At 37.0% G+C, this 21,941-nt stretch overlaps 1 protein-coding gene across 3 annotated transcripts in view; it reads left to right on the forward strand.

Moving 5' to 3' along the window:
* The window catches only part of PLXDC2 (plexin domain containing 2), a 473,425-nt gene that overhangs the window by 417,944 nt on the left and 33,540 nt on the right, over positions 1-21,941 (forward strand). For 2 of the 3 annotated variants that reach the window (NM_032812.9, NM_001282736.2), the window contains one exon: positions 10,970-11,130. In NM_032812.9, the coding sequence (NP_116201.7) occupies positions 10,970-11,130 (161 nt within the window). Of the gene's footprint in view, positions 1-10,969; positions 11,131-15,014; positions 18,035-21,941 lie in introns of those variants that run through there. The other variant, XM_011519750.3, reaches the window with a different exon arrangement.

A 21,941-nucleotide genomic window follows, 5' to 3' on the forward strand; every position in this document is an offset into this window, starting at 1 on the left:
CTGCGGTAGCTAAGGGGCAGTCAGTGTGATAAATACAGCTTTATAATATCCATTTTCCTAAGCAGCGTGATTCTGTCCATGTTAAAGGCATTGTTTGAGCCATATTTTGCCAGTATTGGTGCAAAGCAGTGAAATATAAGTACCCTGTACAAGTGTTGCTCAGTGTTTTCATTTTGTTTTCTTTCTGTCCTATGTGGCACAGTTTATTAGTTCTCGTAACACAAACTAAAATGAAATTCAAAGCTCTACCGAGCTGTTGTTGTTAATTTTGTTTTCAGGGTTTCTTTCTTTTTTTTTTTTTTTTTTCCTTTTTCCTGCTTCTTATTCTGTCTCCCTGAGCTACACAGCACACACATAGAATTCTGCTCATTTACTTTCCTGGAGAGCTATAATGCGCATCAAACCACAGCAAATAGCAAAAAGATTGTATGGTTGTTGAGAACATCAGTGTCTAAGGTTCCAGTACTGAGGCACTCACACACAGGCTAAATGAATATCTCCAGCAACTAAATGAATCCCTGCTTCCTTGGGAGATCCAAAGGTTTTTATTAACGTTATGCATAAATTCAAGCACCAAAGAACTTGAGATTGATTTCGTATTCTGCAGTTTTCCAAAGAAGCTGCTTACAGATAACTGCGGAAGGGTTGATCTTATTTAGATAGGCTACTAGACCTCAGAAGCTAGACTTTTGTTTTTCAAATAGTGGCTGTGGATTCTATATCCTATGTCCAAGCTACCGTTTGGGACAACATGGTTCCCTTCAGGTGGTTGCAAGTACGTGAGAGGCTGATCTTGGCGTTTCCGCTTGAAAAACTATTCACTGAAATGTCCTTGCTTTCACTCAGCATGCCCCTAAGCTTCCGTGAGGGAATGGATTCCTTCTTTCCATGAGTAATTTCAAGAAGTCCTCTCATTGCCCTCTGCAGCCATGATTGAGAAGAATGAGGGTAGTAATCAACAGAATATTAATGAGAGTTAATAATAGTATTAACAATAATACTGAAGATCAATATAACAAAGTATACTAATCAATAGAATAGCAAGTAATATGAGTGGCACTAACAACATTAATACAACCATTCCATTGAGGATTTATTATATTTTAAGCACAATGCCAACCACTTTGTAAGCATCCTCTCAGATCTTCACAACCATCAGGAGATAGCTCTTACTATTATGTCCATTTTGCAGAAAAGAAGACAGGATTGAAAAGATGCCGCTCCTTTAGGTCCAGCAGTGTGAGATCTGGTGTTATTCTTTGAAGCCCCAAAGGTTCCATCTTTATGTTAGTCAGGTGGTTTAGACACAGATCTGTCTTTCTACACTGATAAGAAGAGTGAAGGGGATTTTTCTTCCATGTTCAGAAAACTTAATGGATTTGATAAGTAGTAAACATTCATCCTTATAATCTCAGGTTATGCATATAAATGATCTGTTTGAACATAAGTGACTATTCTGAAATTGATAGAATAAATGGCACGGAGAGTCACTCTGTTCTGTACCTCCAAACCTTGAAAGTGCTTCGTCGGCCTATTTTTGATATTCCATAGTCACTATGAATATCTTTGTTAGGAAAACTCTACTAAGTTTTTTGTGTAGTTAAAAACCCTAATATCTTAACCATGCAAAGGCTTGGCATGAGATTAAAAGAGAAAATAGTTTATTAACCTCTTTGGTTTCATATTTAGCTGAAAACGTTGGGTACTAGGATTTTCTTTTTCCCTGTGGATTCTTTGGTAGAAGCCGAGACACATTTTATTTTTATTTTTCAAAAATAATTTCTGGCTGAGCTCAGCGACTCACACCTGTAATTCCAGCACTTTGGGAGGCTGAGGCAGGTGGATCACCTAAGGTCAAGAGTTCGAGACCAGCCTGGCCAACATAGTGAAAGCCCGTCTCTACTAAAAGTACAAAAAAAGTTAGCCAGGAATGGTGGTGTGTGCATAAAGTCCCAGCTACTTGGGAGGCTGAGGCAGGAGAATCGCTTGAACCCAGGAGGTGGAGGTTGCAGTGAGCCGAGATCACACCACTGCACTCCAGCCTGGGCCACAGAGCGAGACTCCGTCTAAAAATTAATAATAATAACAATAATTTTAAGATATATTTTAAATAGGGAAAAATGATAACTTGATATAGAAAGCTGATGTTAGGAAAAGTTTAAAAGTTAGATGTCATAAAGATCTTGACTGCTGAAAACATATGCGTAGGCAGATTGTTACAAAGAAGAGCACATATACACATAAGAAGTGAAAAATGATAATGGGTTTTCCAAATATTTATTTTTGGTCTTATTTGTACTATATATAAATACCATAAACCTTCTCTTTTTTCAATTTTTTTCTTAAAGACAGGGTCTTGCTCTGTCACCCAGGCTGGAGTGTGGTAGTAGGATCAAAGCTCACTGCAGCCTTGATCTCTTAAAACTTTCCCTTTAAGATATCTGCACATACACATGCCTAAAAGCACCGATCATTGAATGAGACTAGAATCAGCCTATCATTTGGTGATTGTTATCCCAAATCCCTCATTTTGATAGAATTAAGTATTCCTTTTAATATTATTTCATAGAAATTTTATTCAGCTTTATTTTTCTAAGATAAAAGGTAAGGGATTATGAGTTGTTGTTTTTTTTTTTTAAAGGATAGTCATCCTGTAAGATCTTCCAGCCCAGAACATTTTATATATTTCCCTGAATAAATTTCACAGCTGCCCGATAGTAGGACAGACTGTAAAAGGAAAGCTGCCCTTGCCAGATATTGGTCTCACCATACATAATGTCCTTAGATGTGTTTTGTGCACCGGCTTTTATATCTTTTCACAGTGATTACCCTAATCCCTTCTACACAGTGTCTTAACATGAATTGTGAATGTATTGTCACAGTAATAGCTAATGTGAATTAGGTACACCTTGTATAATAGTTTCAATCCACTCCAATACTGGAATAATATTGACAGGCCGGTAAGCATTTTAAAAAAAATAGTATCACTGTGATTAAGAAAATGAAAGAACTAAGAGGATTATGAAAAATTACAAAAGACATAAAACACCCAAAGAAACTCTGAATGAAGTCAAGGTCATGATTATGTATATAGAAAGTTAAAGAGGTAAGAGAGAAAATAAATGAGCTACAAAATGAGACTGATCAGTTGCAAGGGAAACTTACAAAGGGAAGTACAATTTACTTAAAACTTTTTTCATTTGATTTTCTTTTGTTACATGCTTTAGCTTGTAAATGGGTTAGGTACTGTTCCATGGGGGAATTCATGTCTGTGTGCATTTTTAATCCCAAAGTGGAACACTAACATTTTCAGCATTTATAGTTTAACTTTATTCTGAAGCTTTAAAAGAGCACATTTTGGCATCTTCTGTGTAAGATTTATGAATTTTGAGCAAATTTGTGCATGACATTGTCTAACCCATCAGCCTCTCAGTTCCCCAAAGGATATTAATATATTATGGAATTTATGGGCTGCAGTGTTTCATTTTAAGCCCAGGAGAAGAGTTAGTTCTAAAGTGAATAAAATTTCAGACAAAGAATATTTCTATTTTAGTTTTTTCTTTATTTCTGGACTTTAATTGTTGGCAAGATTTAATAGTAGCTACAGATCATTTTGGCAATGCATTAAAATATTTTACCATATTGGAGAATTACACTTCTAAATACAGAATATCAATGCCATATGCAAGTAAATCCTAAGGGAAAATAACAGTCATAGAAACATGGAGACATAGAGTTTTAAAATTAAATGCTACACTTTGACAAAATAAATAAATATATATATGTATATACATATATATACAAATATATATATAGCATTTTCTTCCTTCCTTCCTCCTATCTTCTTTTTTTCTACCTCCTTATTTCTTTCATCTTTCCTCCTTCTTTATTTTCCATGATTCATGGACTTCTCCAAATTAAACACACTGAGGTGAGGTCTTGAATATTTTCTAGTATATACTTAATGTATTTTAAAAATATGTTCTCTTGGCCAGGTGCGGTGGCTCACACCCGTAATTCCAGCACTTTAGGAGACTGAAACACATGTATCACTTGAGGTCAGGAGTTCAAGACCAGCCTGGCCAACAGGGTGAAACCCCGTCTCTACTAAAAACACAAAAATTAGCCAGGCATGGCAGCCCATGCCTGTAGTCCCAGCTACTCAGGAGGCTGAGGCAGGAGAATTACCTGAATCCGGGAGGCAGAGGCTGCAGTGAGCCGAGATCGCACCACTGCACTCTAGCTTGGGTGAGAGTGAGAACAGAGAAAGACTCCATCTCAAAAAAAATATATATATATATGTATATATATATATATACACACATATATATGTGTATATATACACATATACATACATATATATATGTGTGTATATATATATATATGATGTCTTTGCTCTTATGGTAGCTAAAACTTTCCCAAAAATAGCAGATTGCTTTGATAGAATTGACAGTTCTTACAGTCTTCTCTGTGTCTAAATATTGATCTGCATTTCATAAAGTGTTGAAAAGCAATGACACTCACTGGGTCAGATTAGAGTATATTATCTTGGATACTATTGATTTTCTCTGCTTCATTTTATATTAAAAATGTCTTAAGCACAGGGCAAAAAAAGACCTTTACTTTGGAGATTTTTAAAGTATATTCCTGTATTTCCATTTTTGGCTTGGAGAGACTCTATTTTATGGCTTCTTGTTGCCCTTTATTAATCCCTGTTATTTTAATACACAAGGTAAGGCTTAACAAAGACTAAAGATTTGAATTCTTCTGTGTGTTACGTTTTACTAAGTATGTGAGAAAGATGCTTGTTTAGTTTTTGTTTGCTTTTGGACATGAGTGAAAGCTCATAAGATGTTTGCATGAATATAGGAAGAGTTTACGTCTTAAGACTAGATTCCTTCTCACGTTTCTTTAATATTCCCCTAAAGCCTACTAGACTCTGATGAGCTTTGTATTAGTCCATTTTCACACTGCTATCAAGAAGTCCCTGAGATTGAGTAATTTATAAACAAAAGAGGTTTAATTGACTCACAGTTCTGCATGGCTGGGGAGGCCTCAGGAAACCTACAATCATGGCAGAAGGCGAAGGAAAAGCAAGCACCTTCTTCACAAGGCGGCAGGACAGAAAGAGAAAGAAGGGGAAGTGCCACTTTCAAACCATCAGATCTCATGGGGACTCACTATCACAAGAACAGCATAAGAGAAACCACACCCATGATCCAATCACCTCCCACCAGGTCCCTCTCTCAACACGTGGGGATTACAATTCAAGAAGAGATTTGGGTGGGGACACAGAGCCAAACCATATCAAGCTTACTGAGAAGTTTGTCCCTGAAGCAAGTTCAGAATTCTCTTTGACATACTTCTATCTGCCAATATAAAAGAACAATCAGTCGAGCCACATATGGACATCTTAGTTTATTGTATTTTCTGCAGGAGGGAAATGAGCATACTCAAGCAGTCTTCCCTAGAGGTGAATGAACTAAACTTCATTTATGGGAATTAGTAAGCACTTACACTTTCTAAATTTCAGCTTTGCATTTGAGGTGACTATGTTTTTTAACTTTTATTTTAGGTTCAGGGGTACCTGTGTAGGTTTGTTTTATAGGTAAATTATCATGGGAGTTTATTGTACAGATTATTTCATTAGCCAGGTAATAAGCATAGTACCCAATAGGTAGTTTTTTAATCCTCACCCTCCTGCCTCCCTCTATCCTCAAGTAGGCTCTGGTATCTGTTGTTCCCTTCTTTGTGTCCGTATGTATTCAATGTTTAACACACACTTACAAGTGAGAACATAGGGTATTTGGCTTTCTGGTCCTGTGTTAGTTTGCTTAGGACAACGGCCTCCACCTCTTTCCGTGTTGCTTCCTTCAAAGAATAGGATCTCATTCTTTTTCTGTGGCTGCATAGAATTCTATGGTGTATATGGACAACATTTTCTTGATCCAATCTACCGTTGATGAGCATTTAGGTTGATTCCATGTCTTTGCTATTGTAAACAGTGCTGTAATGGACATAATGTGTCTTTTTGGTAGAATAATTTGTATCCTTTTGAGTATATACCCAGGATACTCTAAATTCTGTCTGCAAATCTCCATAAATATGCAAAATCTGTACCATTTGATCAAGCATGATATTAAACTGGAAACCAACTAGTGAAAGAATTTAAAATCAAAGCATATCAATGAAGTGCTCCCTGCAGCTTCAGATTTAACAGTCTCTAATTAAGCCGTCATAATACCTGCTAATATACGTTCATCTAAAGCCCATAGAAAGAAGCTGGAATAGAGATGCTTGTACTGTGTAGGAAATTGTAGAATCATTGCAGTAGCCAAAAAAAAAAAAAAAAAAAAGGTTAAATAATATGAGAGTAGAAAAATGCTTTCTCCAAAACTATGTGTGCAATTTTGGTCCCTCCATTCAGATGGTCACTCTAAAGCATTTTGAAATAGTCATTGGTATGTGACACAAAGAAAGTCTTGTAATATTTTGGAGTTGAGTATGCTACATTTTTCCTTAAATGACTTGCTCTGTTAGAACACATCAAGTCATGTCATACTCATAGATCTCTAAATATTTATTTTGTCTTCTGGTTAGTATTGAGAATCCATGAAAGCTGTTTATTTTATTAAAATAATCGTCATCCAAAAATGTTATTAAATGGTTATTTGGATAGTAATAAACTAGACTCTGTACAAATTGTGTTATTAGATATGGCCATGGTGTCTTGACATCTAAAGCAGAAATGTAAAGGAACATTTTTTAAAAGGAGATAATGTCACTAAATTATTATTGGAAGTATGAATAAATAATAATTGGGAGAGAAGTATTTATGTCTAAATAAAGGTAGCGAGGTTTACCACACTCAAGGTGCAAATCTGGTTATGGTTGTTATATTCCAAACATTGGCAACTTATGCCCTGCAGGACAAAATTAATTTTATTTCTGACAAGGACTCTTATTAAGTGAAACATGACCCTTGCCCTCTTTTTCCTTCCTGGGAAAAGCTGCCTCCTTAGCAAGTTCTGGTCCTCCAGCACATTTGGGAAGTAGCAACCTGAGGTCAACTCACAAATACCTTAATCTTCCCTCTCCATTCCTGCATACACAAAAGAAGTAAGGCTAAACCAGGTGCAATGGCACATGTCTGTAATCCCAGCACTTTGGGAGGCTGAGGCAGGAGGAATGCTTGAGCCCAGGAGTTCAAAATGAGCCTGGGCAATATAGTGAGAATCTGCCTCTACAAAAAAATTAACCAGGCATGGTGGCACATGCCTGTAGCCTCAGCTACTTGGGAGGCCAAAGCAGGAGGATCACTTGAGCCCAGGAGTTCGAAGCTGCAGTGAGTCAAGATCACACCACAGCACTCCAGCCTGAGTGACAGCAAGATCCTGTCTCAAAAATAAAAAATAAAAAGAAGAAGAAGTGAGGCGGAAATTTGTGAGGCTAAAACTTGGCATGCTGTGTATAAAGGACTGTTTATGATGGCAGATACTGACCTAAAACCCATCCCAAAGACAAACCCCAGAAATAGAATCAGACACTGGATGGGTGGATAGATGGATGCATGGATGGATGGATGGATGGATGGAGAAAGGGAGGATAAGAAACAGCAAGAAAGAGAGGGATGGAGGGATGGAAAGACGAGTGGAAGAGGGAGGGAAGGATTTGAAGAAACAGTCAAGTCTTCATTTTTGACTCAAAAATATCTACTATTTTTGCTACATTTTCCCTAAAGCCACATTTTCAATTAATCCTATTTTCCCAGGAGAGCACTGTGTCATACTCTTATAAAAATAAGAAAATAGACAAGTCCACAAGATGCGATAATATAAGCATACATAAGAATGAGGCCAAAGTTTTAAAAGCAACACATTTTAAGGGCAAAAACATAGTTTATATATTGTTGTGAATCTGACTGTGTAATTTGTCTCAACCTGCCTCATATAAAAAGTATGATAATAACATAATATCTCAATATTCATTAAGTGCTTATTATGAGTCAGGTACTCTCCTAAGAACTTTATATGTATTAAATGTGGAATTCTCACATCAACCCTATGGGGTAATTACTGTTATTGACTGCGTTTTGGAGATAAGGTTAACTGAAGACCAGACAGATGAGGTCATTTATTATAGCCTCATTTGATTTTTATTGGCAATGTGGTCATTCTAATACTGTAACCTATTTCCAAAAGCCTTTATTTTTATCTTTTTCCTTCCTCTCTTTTCCTCCTCCCTTCTCACCAAATATGGATGAAAATGTTTATGATGGCAGATACTGACCTAAGACCCAGCCCAAAGACATAGCCTCTGTCATCTTGGAGGTGCAATGTTAATCCTTTTTTATGAGGTGGAGTCTCGCTCTGTCGCCCAGGCTGGAGTGCAGTGGCAGGATCTCGGCTCCCTGCAACCCCTGCCTTCAGGTTCAAGCAATTCTCCTGTCTCAGCCTCCTGAGTAGCTGCGATTATAGGCGCCCGCCACCAAGCCTGGCTAATTTTTTGTATTTTTAGTAGAGACAGGGTTTCTGCCATGTTGGCCGGGCTGGTCTCAAACTCCTGACCTCAGGTGATCCACCTGCCTTGGCCTCCCAACGTGCTGGGATTACGGGCATGAGCCACCACGCCTGGCTCCAATGTTAATTCTTTAACTGTTTTTTACATTAGTTTTTCTTTGCTTGAAATTACCAGATTCTTTTCAGAATTATTTCCTAGAAGAACTCACAACATGAAATAAGAGGAAATAGCAGGACCTACAGCCCAGTGTTCATTGAGGAGGTATTGATCAGAGGTCCAGAATTCAGACTTGGAGGCCAGACTGCTGGTGTGTGAGCTCAGTTCTACCTTAATAATTTTGCAACCCTAGCTCATTTTTTAATTATCCTGTGCCTCAATTTCCTTACCTATAAAACAGAAATAATAATAGTGCCTACCTCTTAGGGTTGTTGGTTTGGTACTTGCAAAGTAATACAACTATCCCTGACACAGTATAAATGAACTATTATATAATGAATTACTCTAAATTTGATCTTCTTTCACTAATTAATTTCTGTTACATAAGGGAAATCTTTAGAATTTTCAGCCTTACTAGATTTGGAGAAGGATAACTGAACACCAACAATGGTTCTCAAGCAAAGAGTAAACAACAGCAATAAAAACGTAGAGGGGAGGTGGAAAGAATTAGGAGGTCATATTTCTCCACTTTATCTGGAATTCCGTCAGTTCATGTGGACCACACATTGTGATAGACATCCATATTTGGTTTTTCTTTAAAAAAAGGTAAAATAAAAGAAAGAAATCAGTGCTTATTAAATGAAGTTTAATAGACAAAAAAAGCTTATAACATAGAGGCAAATGGTAAAAATAACGAAGAGGTAAATTGGTCATGAAATTATTGAGGCCGGGTGCAAAGGCTCACGCCTGTAATCCCAGTACTTTGGGAGGCCGAGGTGGGTGAATCACTTGAGGTCAGGTATTCAAGACCAGACTGGCCAACATGGTTTAACCCCATCTCTACTAAAAATGCAAAAATTAGCCAGGTGTAGTGGCAAGCGCCTGTAATCCCAGCTACTTGGGAGGCTGAGGCAGGAGAATTGCTTGAGCCTGGGAGGTGGAGGTTGCAGTGAGCCGAGATCACACCACTGCACTCCAGCCTGGGCCTGGACGACAGAGCGAGATTCCCATCTCAAAGAAAAAACAAAGAAAGAAAAAAAAAAGAAAAGAAAGGATTGAGAACCACTGTTCTGAAACTTTTGTACATCTTAAAAAATTATGTCATGATTCAGAATACCAGTCATATGGTGCACTTAAGATACAACTTACTGTATCTTACAATTATACTGCACATAATTCAGGAAGATCTCTAAATGCCTGAGTAATCATCAGTGATTACAGAATTTTAGAAAAAGAGAAGACTTTAGAGATTAGTTGTATTTGGCTGGTTGGCTTTGGTTAGGATAGTTATTACTTTATAAATTTAATTCCTCCCTTTGCTAATTCAGAAAATGTGTATTACAGTGGAAAGCATCTCAGTAAAAGTTAGAGGAAATTATATTGTTCTGGGGTGTAGTGGAAAGTTTTCCTTTGCTGTGGCGCTCCTCTTAGTGATCAAAACTATTTGAGGGTCATTAAGCATCCATCTGTTACACTTTTAAAAAGTATTTTTGTTTAAAACAGATTTTTCACAAATTATGCTTGGAGTTCATGCACAGACTTTCTGAAAATGCCTATAGAGCTTATCAAAAGATGTCCGATACTCTTTAATTTAAAATTTCCAAAAGAAAATGAGAGGAGCTTTCAAAATTAATCAGCTTTTCCATAGGTAACTTTGGTGGTTTAATGAGAAAAATCAAAGTTAAATTTAGTGTGTAGTTAATTAGAGTTTGAGGTTTCCCACAGTACTTTGAGAATAAAAGCTATTCATTTTGCTTATCAAACTAGAAATTTTAAAACACAGGCCAGGTGCGGTGGCTCACGCCTGTAATCCCAGCACTTTGGGAGGCTGAGGCAGGCGGATCACCTGAATCAGGATTTCGAGACCAGCCTGACCAACATGGTGAAATCCCATCTCCACTAAACATACAAAATTAGCCGGGTGTGGTGACTCACACCTGTAATCCCAGCTACTCAGGAGGCTGAGGCAGGAGAATCGCTTGAACCCAGGAGGCAGAGGTTGCAGTGAGCCAAGATCATGCCTTTGCACTCTAGCCTGGGCAACAAGAGCAAAATTCCATTTCAAAAAATAAAAATAAAACACAGTGATAAATGTATTTTTACTCATGAATCCTATGGATTCTTCATTGCCCATATGAAGAGCACGTCACCTGTAAAATTGATGTTGCAGAAAAGTTGTCCAGGAAGTAAAGATCCAGTCGTACTTTATTAAAAACACAAATATCTCCTCAGATGAAAATGCAAACTTGAGGGTAAACTCATGAAGGTCCTGACAGCTGGGATGTTCTTTCAGCTTCTACAGATGACAGTGCAGCTGAGAAGAAAGGGGGAACCCTCCACGCTGGCCTCATCATTGGAATCCTCATCCTGGTCCTCATTGTAGCCACAGCCATTCTTGTGACAGTCTATATGTATCACCACCCAACATCAGCAGCCAGCATCTTCTTTATTGAGGTAAGTGTTGAGTTTAACACATGAAAACCACGCCAGTTGATGAACTGTATCCGTTTGCTAACACCACCTGGATTTAATATTTACCACATGGCTTCTCCATTTTTCAGTTCAAGCTTTCTGATTTCACACACATGGATGTTGTCCCCCATGCACTCACGTACATATTGATAGATTGCTTTCAGATGATGGATTCAGTTACCTTATCTCAGGAGCTTTTAAAGACATAAACTATCTTGTCTTTCTAAGATCTAAAAGAAAATGGGAACCATAGTTTTTGGTCCTTTTATACCAAGTATGTTAACCAGCTGTTCTCCTTGTTCTAGGAGGAAATACTACGTATCTGGGGGGCTGAAGACTTAGCTTAAGTTAATTGCTCAGTAAATGCTAATTGAGTATTGGCTGTATGCATGATACAATATGATGGGCCTCTTCTCAAAATGCTCACAAACCGTTTGGAAAAAATATGGTTTTCACCACAAAATGACAGATGTAAAAATAAAAAATGGTATGTGCTGTTGCCATTTTGCATAATGTATGTACACTTGTACATTTATATATAAATGCAGAGAGACGCATATCCACACACTCAGACACACAATGAGAACACCATGCTGAATAAGTGTTATGTCTTCATGTACGGAATGTAGGTTTAGTGCCAATGCCAAGGAGCAAACAGGTGGGAAGACAAGGGGCTGTGCATAAGGAGCCATGGCTAAGCCCTGGGGTCTAAAAGGCTGAAACCAGCAAGCCTGGAGACCAGTGGATACAGTCTGTGTGTCTGTGTGACGAAGTCACCTCTGTCCTCCAGAAGGTTGGGTTTCCTGGGCCCCATGCATATGCAGGTTTTTTTTGTTTGTTTGTTTCTTGACAGTCTCATTCTGTCACCCAGGCTGCAATGCCGTGGTGCGATCTCGGCTCACTGCAACCTCTGCCTTCCGGGTTCAAGCAATTTTTGTGCATCAGCCTCCTGAGCAGCTTGGACTAGAGGCAAACACTACCACACCCAGCTAATTTTTGTATTTTTAGTAGAGATGGGGCTTTGCCATGTTGGCCAGACTGGTCTCAAACTCCTGACCACAAGTGATCCTCCCGCCTTGGCCTCCCAAAGTGCCGGGATTACAGGTGTGAGCCATCGTGCCTGGCCACATGTGCACCTTTGACTCTAACATCTAAATGGAACCACTCCTCTTCCAACACCAGATAGAACTAGAAATACTAAAGCAATAAAAGAAATCTTCTCTTGCAGAATTTCAAACATGTAATTAGAATTATTCATTGTATGACACATGGAAAGGTTGCTTGGAATTATGTTCACTTGTTGAGCGAGAAATTATAATGCCTTTTTTTTAATGACTTTTAAACTATGGAGTTAAAATTACCTATGCCACTTATAATGGGGAGGGGTGAATAAATGCAAATCAAACAATTGCTTAAATGTCCTTGATAGCTCACAACTGTCTGTAGAAGAAAGTGCCGTCTCCTTTTCCTTCTGTGGGGGCTCAAGGCCTTGGCACTCTCAATCTTATGTGTCATTTCAATCTTTATTCCCTTGGCTCCCTAATCTGGAGTTGGCACTTCTGTCAAATTTCATGCTTTGTCTCTGTACACAGCCCAAATTCTCCATGTCACAAAGACATTGCTCATTCTAGTTCCTCCATCAAAAATTCCTCCTGGTGAGGTATGGTGACTCACATCTGTAATCCCAGCACTTTGGGAAGCTGAGGCAGACAGATTGCTTGAGCCCAGGAGTTTGGGACCAGCCTGGGCAACATGGTGAAACTTCATCTCTACAAAAAAAAAAAAAAAGAAAAAAAGAAAAAAATGAATGGGGCATGGTGGCACATGCCTGTAGTCCAAGCTACTTGGGAGGCTGAAATGGTAGGATTGCTTGAGCCCAGGAAATCAAAGCTGCAGGGAACAGTGACTGTGCCACTGCATTCTAGCCTGGGTAATAGAGTGAGGCCTGGTCTAGGAAAAAAAAAAATTTCCTCCCTTCCCATATTAGTTCTTGAATTTAGGAGCCAAAAGGCCTTTGATACTGTGTACCCCATAAGCTTCTCTAGACCATCTTCCTGCCTCGGCAGCTGGGTATAATCTCTTTCTCTTCTGAAACTCTATCTGCAGGGATACACCCCTACCTTTCTCTGGCATTCATCTTTCTGTTTTGCATTAGAGTCCAGTATGCGCATGATTTATTCTGCCCTGCAAGACTTGTAAGTGCCTTAAGATTTGGATTAAATCACTTACATTTCCTTTGAAAAATAGGGATTCTGCCAATATTTCCTGGAAAAACGTTCATAATAAATATCCTAGGACATTTCAGACTTCCAGTGAAATTTCATATAAAATGTATTTCAGAAATGGCATCTTCATTTGATATCAGTAATTGAGATATTATCACGCATTGCCTTGAATTGGAAATCTGTTATTAAGTTCTGTTAATGTGCTTCGTTTTCTTGGAAGAAAGTAGACAACCTTCTCAAAGTTACAAATGCATTCTTCAAAGAGCTGCTGAGTGACAAGCTAGAAAGCCTCAGGGACTAGCCAGACCTCAGGCTGCTGCTACTGCCGTAACCCCTCACACGTTTAAGCCTTTTCAAACTGTGCAGTTTATTTTCTGACATGGTGAAAAAGAAGACACTGAAATATCTGATGGTGATGGTATTAGCAGCAAATTGCATAGTATGAAAGATCTAGTTAAAGCTGGTTCAAAGGAACCCCTGTATGACTGCAAAATAGTGGAATATTGTTTTGAGTATTAGTCTCATTGTCTTATGTCTCAGAGCCTGTATGTCCATAGGTGTGGAGTGTTTACATGTGTATACGTACACATGTATTTATAGAATATTAGAGCTAGATGGAATCTTAGAGATAATTTAGTTCTATACTCTCCTAACACAAAAGGAGAGACTGAGTGAGGCTCAGAAGAGTGGAATGACTTATCCAAGGTCAAAGAGTCATAGTTCTAAGAATAACTCTTTCTTCTTTTCACATGTAAGTGAAGCAGATTCATTCAGCAGGTCTCCCAGCTTTTCTCCGCTTGGCTTTTTTTCCTTCCTGTGGAGTCAGTTGCCAGAGTCTGCTTAAATCACTACCTATCTGACATGCTGCTGGGGTCATGCGGCTCACAGTGGCTGGTAAGCAGCTGATTTTTGGAGGTGATAATCATAAATTTACTATTATTAAAACTGACCACTGTTTACAAAATCAAAACAGATCCACAATGACCATGGTTTGTGATATGCAGACGCGTGGATTTAAGATTTTTGAATTATTAGCTACATTAGAATTGTTGTTGCATAAATGAGGGAACTGAATATAACAACATTCTTTTCTTGCCTTTTATGTTCCATATTATATTCCTATCTACTTTTGAAGTGAAATTGATGTGCTTTCTTCTTTTATGAAAGTGATACCATTCTTTGTAGGAAATTGAGACAATGCAGAAATGTAAAAGGAAGAAGAAACGCCATTTATAGTTCCAGCATGCAGAAATGATGACTATTAATAGTTTAATTTATTTTCTTCTGGAATTTTTATGTACATAATTTGATGTTTGCCCATTTAACACAGTGGTGATTTCACTGTAATACAAATAGGTATTCTTTTTTAAAGAACATTTTTCTGTTTTATTATGATGGCTTTGTAAACATCATTTTAATGTTTGTATTCTATTCTATTCAACATTCATTCAATAGCTTTATATTGACTGCCTCTTATGCAGTCAAGTGGTAACTCGGAATGCACTGAGAGCCTAACATGTGCCTAGAAGTCAAAAAGGACCTCTTTTCATTCAGATGAAGACTGTGTGTTAGTTTTCTACTGCTGTTGTAACAAATTGCCACAAACCTAGTTACTTAAAATAACACACACTTGTCTTACAGCTCTGGAAGTCAGAAGTGCTAAAATCAGGATATGGACAGGGCTGGTTCCTTCGGGAGGCTTCAGGGGATAATCGTTTCCTTGCCATTTTCAGCTTCCACATGCCGCATGTGTTCCTTGGCTCATGGTTTCTTCTCATATCATTCCAACTTCTGTTCCCACCGTCACATCTCCTACCACTAACGTTGACCCTCCAGCCTCCTTTTTGTAAGGCCCCCTTGTGACTACATTGGGCTCACCTGGGTAATCTAGGATACTCTCTGCATCTCAAGGTCCTTAACTGAACCACATCTGCAAAGTTCCTTTTTACCGTGTAAGGTAACATTGACACCTTTTGGAGATTAGGACATGGACATCTTTGGGAGGCCATTATTCTGTTGAGCACAGAGTGCATCAAATGTGAGATGCATCACACGCTTCCAATTAAACTCTAACACACCCTTGACTGCAAGATATGTCCCAGTTTCAATTATATTAAAATGTAACCCAATGGATATCTTGAGTATTTCACAGTGAAATCCAGGCTTCACTAAACACTTGTATGAGTTAGTTCCTGTGCTAAACAGCGTATATAATATGGTGAAATTGAATGATGCTAGGCCGGGAGCGGTGGCTCACGCCTCTAATCCCAGCACTTTGGGAGGCCAAGGCGGGCAGATCACTTGAGGTCCGGAGTTCGAGACCAGTTTGACCAACATGGTGAAACCCCATCTCTACTAAAAATACAAAAATTAGCCAGGCATGGTGGTACGTGCCTGTAATCCCAGGTACTCGGGAGGCTGAGGCAGGAAAATCATTTGAACCTGGGAGGTGGAGGTTGTAGTGAGCCAAGATCACACCACTGCACTGGTCGCAGCCTGGGCAATCGAGTGAGATCCTGTTTCAAAAAAAAAAAAAAAAAAAAATTCATGACTCTATCCTTGAGTGTATATATCAGAGCTCATGCACCCAGTCTCCTATTGCAGAGCAATGGTGCTCTTCCTACTTTTTCTTATTTTTAATCTTCCCCATTATAAACATATTAATAGTAACAGCCAACATTTATCAAATTCACTAATAAAGTGATTGACACTTATTACCTCATTTAATCCTCATGAAGACTGTGTGTGTTACAAAGATTATCTTCATCTCATAGACGAGGAGGCTGAAGCACGGGCCTTAAGTAAGTTCTCAACATCACGCATTTGGTCAGTAGTGGAGTCAGGATTTAAGCCCAGGCTCTCCAACTCCAGAGACTATGCCCATAACCACCAGGCTGTGCTGCCTCTGTATGTATAAAGAGTTTTTCTTCATATGCTGTATGTAGAAATGCAGGCTGATATACATGCAAGGACATACATTATGTCCTTGGAACAGATTTCCAGAAGTAGAATCAAAGGAAAGAAATGAATGGTATAAAAGAACTTAGTAAATATTGCCAAAAGCATGACACCAATTCATGTAGCTGTTGCTATTGTTGTCTATTTTTAGTGATGATAATGTCAGTGGCTGTTATCTGTGTATTTTTTTCTTGCAGAAAATATACACCAGTTATTATACATTTTGTGGACACCAACACTCTTCCTTATATAAAATACTTACATGGGCTTTAGCTTTTAGATTTCTTACTGTAAAAAGGAAATGAGATAATTAAGCAAATCATCACTCCATAAACAAGTGAATTAACTGTATACATCCCATGTCTTCTTATACAAGATTAGGTACAAGAGTTCCATTCTCCTAAAACATTCCATTTCTATTCAGTCAAGCAGAATAGCCTATTTTTTTTATTAACTTATCTTCTATATTGCTCCATCATTCTCAGATCTTAGACTGGGCAGTTTCTTCAACTGACTGGCTTGCATTTCAAGTTATGTGTCTAGCTTTTCACAGTAATTTTCTAAAGGTTGTCTGATTTTGGTGAAAATCTATCACATTATGTACAAGAATGTCTACATATGCTTTAAGTTTTTTTAAAAAAATGAAATTTATTATCTTGAAACAAAATAGCAGAGAATACATATTTAAGTAAGCATGAATTCCTTAATTTTTAAAAGATCTTGATGAAACTAGTATCTTTTTGGAAGGGTCAATATATCTAGGTTCTACATTAAATTTAATGATTGTTCAACATTGCTAGGCATAAATTTTGTGACTTGTAATATATTTTATTGTTTCATGAACATAGGTCACGGAGATAAATGTTTACACTCTTGAGTGGTATTCTACACATATCACTATTCAAGATTTTTAAATAAAATACATAAAATGTAATCTAACTGAAGGTCAAGAAAATAATATTACAAAGTGATAATCATACAAAATCAACATTCCTATGAAAGGATTCTATTTGGACTATAACGAAATAGTTTAGACTAGCCATCTTGCTGAAAGTATTAATGTTGAACATTGTCCTTAATTTTTCTTAGTATACATAAATAATTGCTAGTATTTGGACACTCATGTACAGTTTTGATTGCTCTGTTCACATAAAAATGAAGAGAAATTGATAAGAACCTCATGATAAAAATGATTATAGCCTTGGAAAATAGATTCTATGAGTAAAATATTGGAGGGTTAAAAAAAAAAAAGTAAAAACTAAGAGTACCTAATCCTGCCATTTATGCTGCAAAGCTTTGAAATGTCCTCAGAGAGAAAGGAGTCAGTTCAAATGATTAATTTAAAATGAAATCAGAAGAAGCAAAAATTATAGGAACAATGGCCCTTGTATTTCAGGAGGGGACTGATATCGTGCAAGGGCAATGGAGTTTGCCTGTAAATAGTGGTTATAATTCCTACCTTAAGGATTGGAGAAATACAGAGTATAGACCTGTGCTGTCAATATGTGGCTGCTGCCTATATGGACTTCTGAGCTCTTAAAATCTGACTAGTCTAGAACAAGTTATATGTAAAACATACACTGGATTTTGAAATCTGAGTACAAAAAATAATGTCAATATCTCATCAATAATTTCTGTATAATTACATGTTGAAATGATAGTATCTTGGATATGCTGGATTAAATAAATTTTATTACAATTAATTTTATTCATGTTTACTTCTTAAATGGACACTAGACACTTTTAAAATTATGTATTTGGTTCACATTATATTTCTATTGGATGATGCTGGTTTGTAGAGAAGACTTTGCAGAGACAAAGAATTAGAAAGAAAAGTTGGTTCCATATTTTTTAAAAGTAGGAAATCAACTGGTTTTTAGCAAGAGGGAAAGGAGGAGCTTATGAGGAGGCAGAAGGCTGGATAAGTTGACCAGTCACTCATTCATGTGTTTAATATTTGTTGAGCTTCTATTATGCACCAAGTCCCCAAGATACATTGGTAAACAAAATGAACAAGATCATCCTTTCCTTCAGGGAGCTTACATTCCAGTGGGTGGAGACAGATGATAAACACATTCTAAGTTAGGTGTGGATTTCACGTTGAATGATTAGTTTTACAAAAGAGGCAGTCACCATAAAATATTTGATAAAATGTTGCCTTTTTTAATTGCTTGAGCAATGTTACCTTTTTTGATCGCTTGAGCTCAGGAGGTGGAGGGTTCAACTTGATAATAAGTGGCATCCTTATTATTATCATCATTATCCTTATTTTATCATAGAACTTTTTATGGAGCTCTAGATACAGATTAGTTAAAAAAAATTAAATAAAGTAAATAAATAAAAAAAGACTGCTCTCCAAAACAGTTTATTTTCCTAGGCCAGGTGCGGTGGCTCATGCCTGTAATCCCAGAACATTGGGAGACCGAGACGGGAGGGTCCTTTGAAATCAGGAGTTTGAGACCAGCCTGGCCAACATGGTGAAACCCCACCTCTACTAAAAATACAAAAATTAGATGGGCATGGTAGTGTGCACCTGTAATCCCTGCTACTCAGGAGACTGAGGCAGGAGAATCACTTGAACCTGGGAGAAGGAGGTTGCAGTGAGCCAAGATCACGCCACTGCACTCCAGCCTGAGCAACAGAGTGAGATTCTGTCTCAAAATGATAATAATAATAATAATAATAATAATAATAATTTGTTTTCTTGATGGGGAAACACTCTCACCATTCTTAAAGTGTGCCTAAATTAGAAGTTATAAGTTATTTCCATAATAAAATCTGGACATAAATGTCTAAATACCAGTCATTGTTCATACCACGCTTTTTAAATTCTTATTATTTCCAGGGCATCAAAATATCTGCCTTTACTGGGAGTACTTTGTATTTTCTATCAGCAAAATCAGGATACCAAAGCAAAAAGAAACTTCAGCCTGTGTGCAACCTAGGGATTCTGTAACTTTTCCAAAATAAGTAGATGAATTCTCCAGTTATCTAGCACAAGTAAATTTCCTTGAGGACTCATGTTTTATCTTAAAAATTTATATGAGTTTCGTATTATTCTCTTTAATACAGACACATGTTTGATATAAAAAATGATTCCACACAATCTTCAACCAATATTAACGTTTCAAAAGGTGATTCATATCACTCTTGTAGCTATACAACCCCAGCTGTATGGTTGTAGATGTTATAAAATCCAGATAAGTTTAAACCAGCAGAGATAAGACCTCTGTTCCTGAAACCTGAGTGGGCAGTATCCTTTCTACCCCTTTGTTGGAGTCAAGTCCAAGGTAGAAATACTCAGGATGGTGAAACAATTTGTTTGGATCCTATGGCACCCGGTTACAGAGCCAAGACATCAAACTAGAATTCCTCACCCCGGCCCTATAGCCTGAGAAGCTACACAGCATCATAGCAAGAGTCTTTTAAGCTTTTTTGCCACTCAAGGGGATTCCCCATCCCAAGAAATATTTCTGGATCACAAGAACCTGTGGAGAATATGATTAAAGAAACACAGGCAGCTGTGGCCCTCAACTTTTCCTGGCAACTAATAGTACCACCAGGAAACAAGCCAGAAGAAGGAGCCAGGCAAGAATTCAAAGACTGCTGGGAAGAAAAAAGCATTTGCTAAGAGTTTGGCATCTTGCTTTGCAGCTGCTGGATGGATTGCACTTGGGGAGTTAGGAAGACGCGATCTGTGGACAAACCTATGTAGTTCATAGAGAAATCACTTCATAGAACCACAAATCTTTTTTTGTCTTGAAGTCACATATTTTTAATAACTGAGTTTTGCTCTTCAGGTATTTCTTAGTCTTACTTCAGTTTTAAAGAAAACTCAAGGGGAAAAAATGATTCATTGAAATAAAATACTTTTTATTTATATTTCTTAGCCGAAGAAAAAGATGGTATTCATTTTTTTATGGCCTGCTGCAAGGAAAGAAAGATAAGGCAAAACACATCTGACATGGTTTGACATAGCTCTCATTAAAGAAGCTATATTAGTAGATGACAGCTTTCCAGAAATATAGTGAAATGCAGAGAAAAATAGGTGAAATTGGGTCACTTGAAAAAAAGAGACACTCTATGTATGTCAGTGGTTTTCTTTTCTCAATTTCTGTTCTAAGATGCTAGAATTTTTATTCATGAACATCACTGAATGTTTTTGAGACATCAGCTCAAGTGCATGGCAATTGCCTTGTATATGTAATCATCAAAATAAGATTTCTTTTATAAATGACATCCTTAATTTACTCTTCTAAGTAACACATTTTCATTTAAATTCCTGAAACTATAATAGTGTTTCTAATTTAATGAAATAATTTCTTCCCTTCATTGGGGAGAATTACTGAAAATACTGAATAAAATATCTTATACTAATTTGCTGTAATTTCTTTTTACTAATTAATTCCCTAATTATTTCAATGCTACATAAGACCATGAAAATCCATAGATGGATAGATGGATGGATGGGTGGATAGGTGGATGGATAGATAGATAGATAGATAGATAGATAGATAGATAGATAGATACCACAGAAAGATTCTTAATAGATGAAAGAATCAGATGGATAAATAAATGAAAATCTGCAAAGCTACAATTCACTTGGGCATTTGTAAGCCTGAATTATGACATTTTAAGGACATATGTCTTAAGTATTCTGATTCTTTTCTTCTGTTACCTCTTGAAGAGACTACTCTACTGACAGTACCAACTGTTGAATAATTTCTTCCTTGTGACATTGGTTAATTGTTCTGCGTTAAAATAAATACTTAAGCCTTTCTATTGTGAAAACAAATAATAAAAACTTTAATTTTAGCAATAATTAGTGCTTCACAGTAAAAATTAATTCATTCAATTACAAGATTATCTTTTCCACCAATTCCTTTTAGTGTATTCTTTTCTAGCAAACATACCAAACAACTAAACTAAATTAGTTTATTATTACGGCATATTCTGGTTTATAACTAATACTAGAGTTATTTGTGATTGTAAGAAAATTAAAATGTAAAATTTTCAGAGACCAAAAACATTAACAATCTAGAGAGTATGAATGTAAAGAATGTATTATAAATGATGGTAGTAATCGTGCTTTTTGTTATTTTATTAGAAGTGAACAATCAATGGTATTTTTAGTTTGAAAATGGATTAAGATTATTTTACTATATGATCTTGTGGTAATCCCTTTATAAAAACTTCCTTAATAGAAACAAAGTAAATTTTAATGCAAAATTCATACATCCTGTCTTACATCACATAGTAAGTGAATATAGGGTCAGAATTATTCTATGTCTATACTTTCTACTTTCAGCTAATTACTACATTTGTATTCTAATTAACATAATACTTAAAATTACTATAGATGAGATAAATTTTAAATAGATGAAAAGCCATTTTTCTATTCAACTTTTTTTTTGTTTTTGTTTTTATTTATTTATTTATTTTTTGAGACAGAATCTTGCTCTGTTGCCGAGGCTCGGGTACAGTGGCACAATTTCAGCTCACTGCAACCTCTGCCTCCTGTGTTCAAGCAATACTCCTGCCTCAGCCTCCCAAGTAGCTGGGATTACAGGCGCCCACCATGACACCTGGCTAATTTTTGTATTTTTAGTA

Source organism: Homo sapiens, chromosome 10, assembly GCF_000001405.40.
Source record: "Homo sapiens chromosome 10, GRCh38.p14 Primary Assembly".
NCBI lineage: Eukaryota > Metazoa > Chordata > Mammalia > Primates > Hominidae > Homo > Homo sapiens.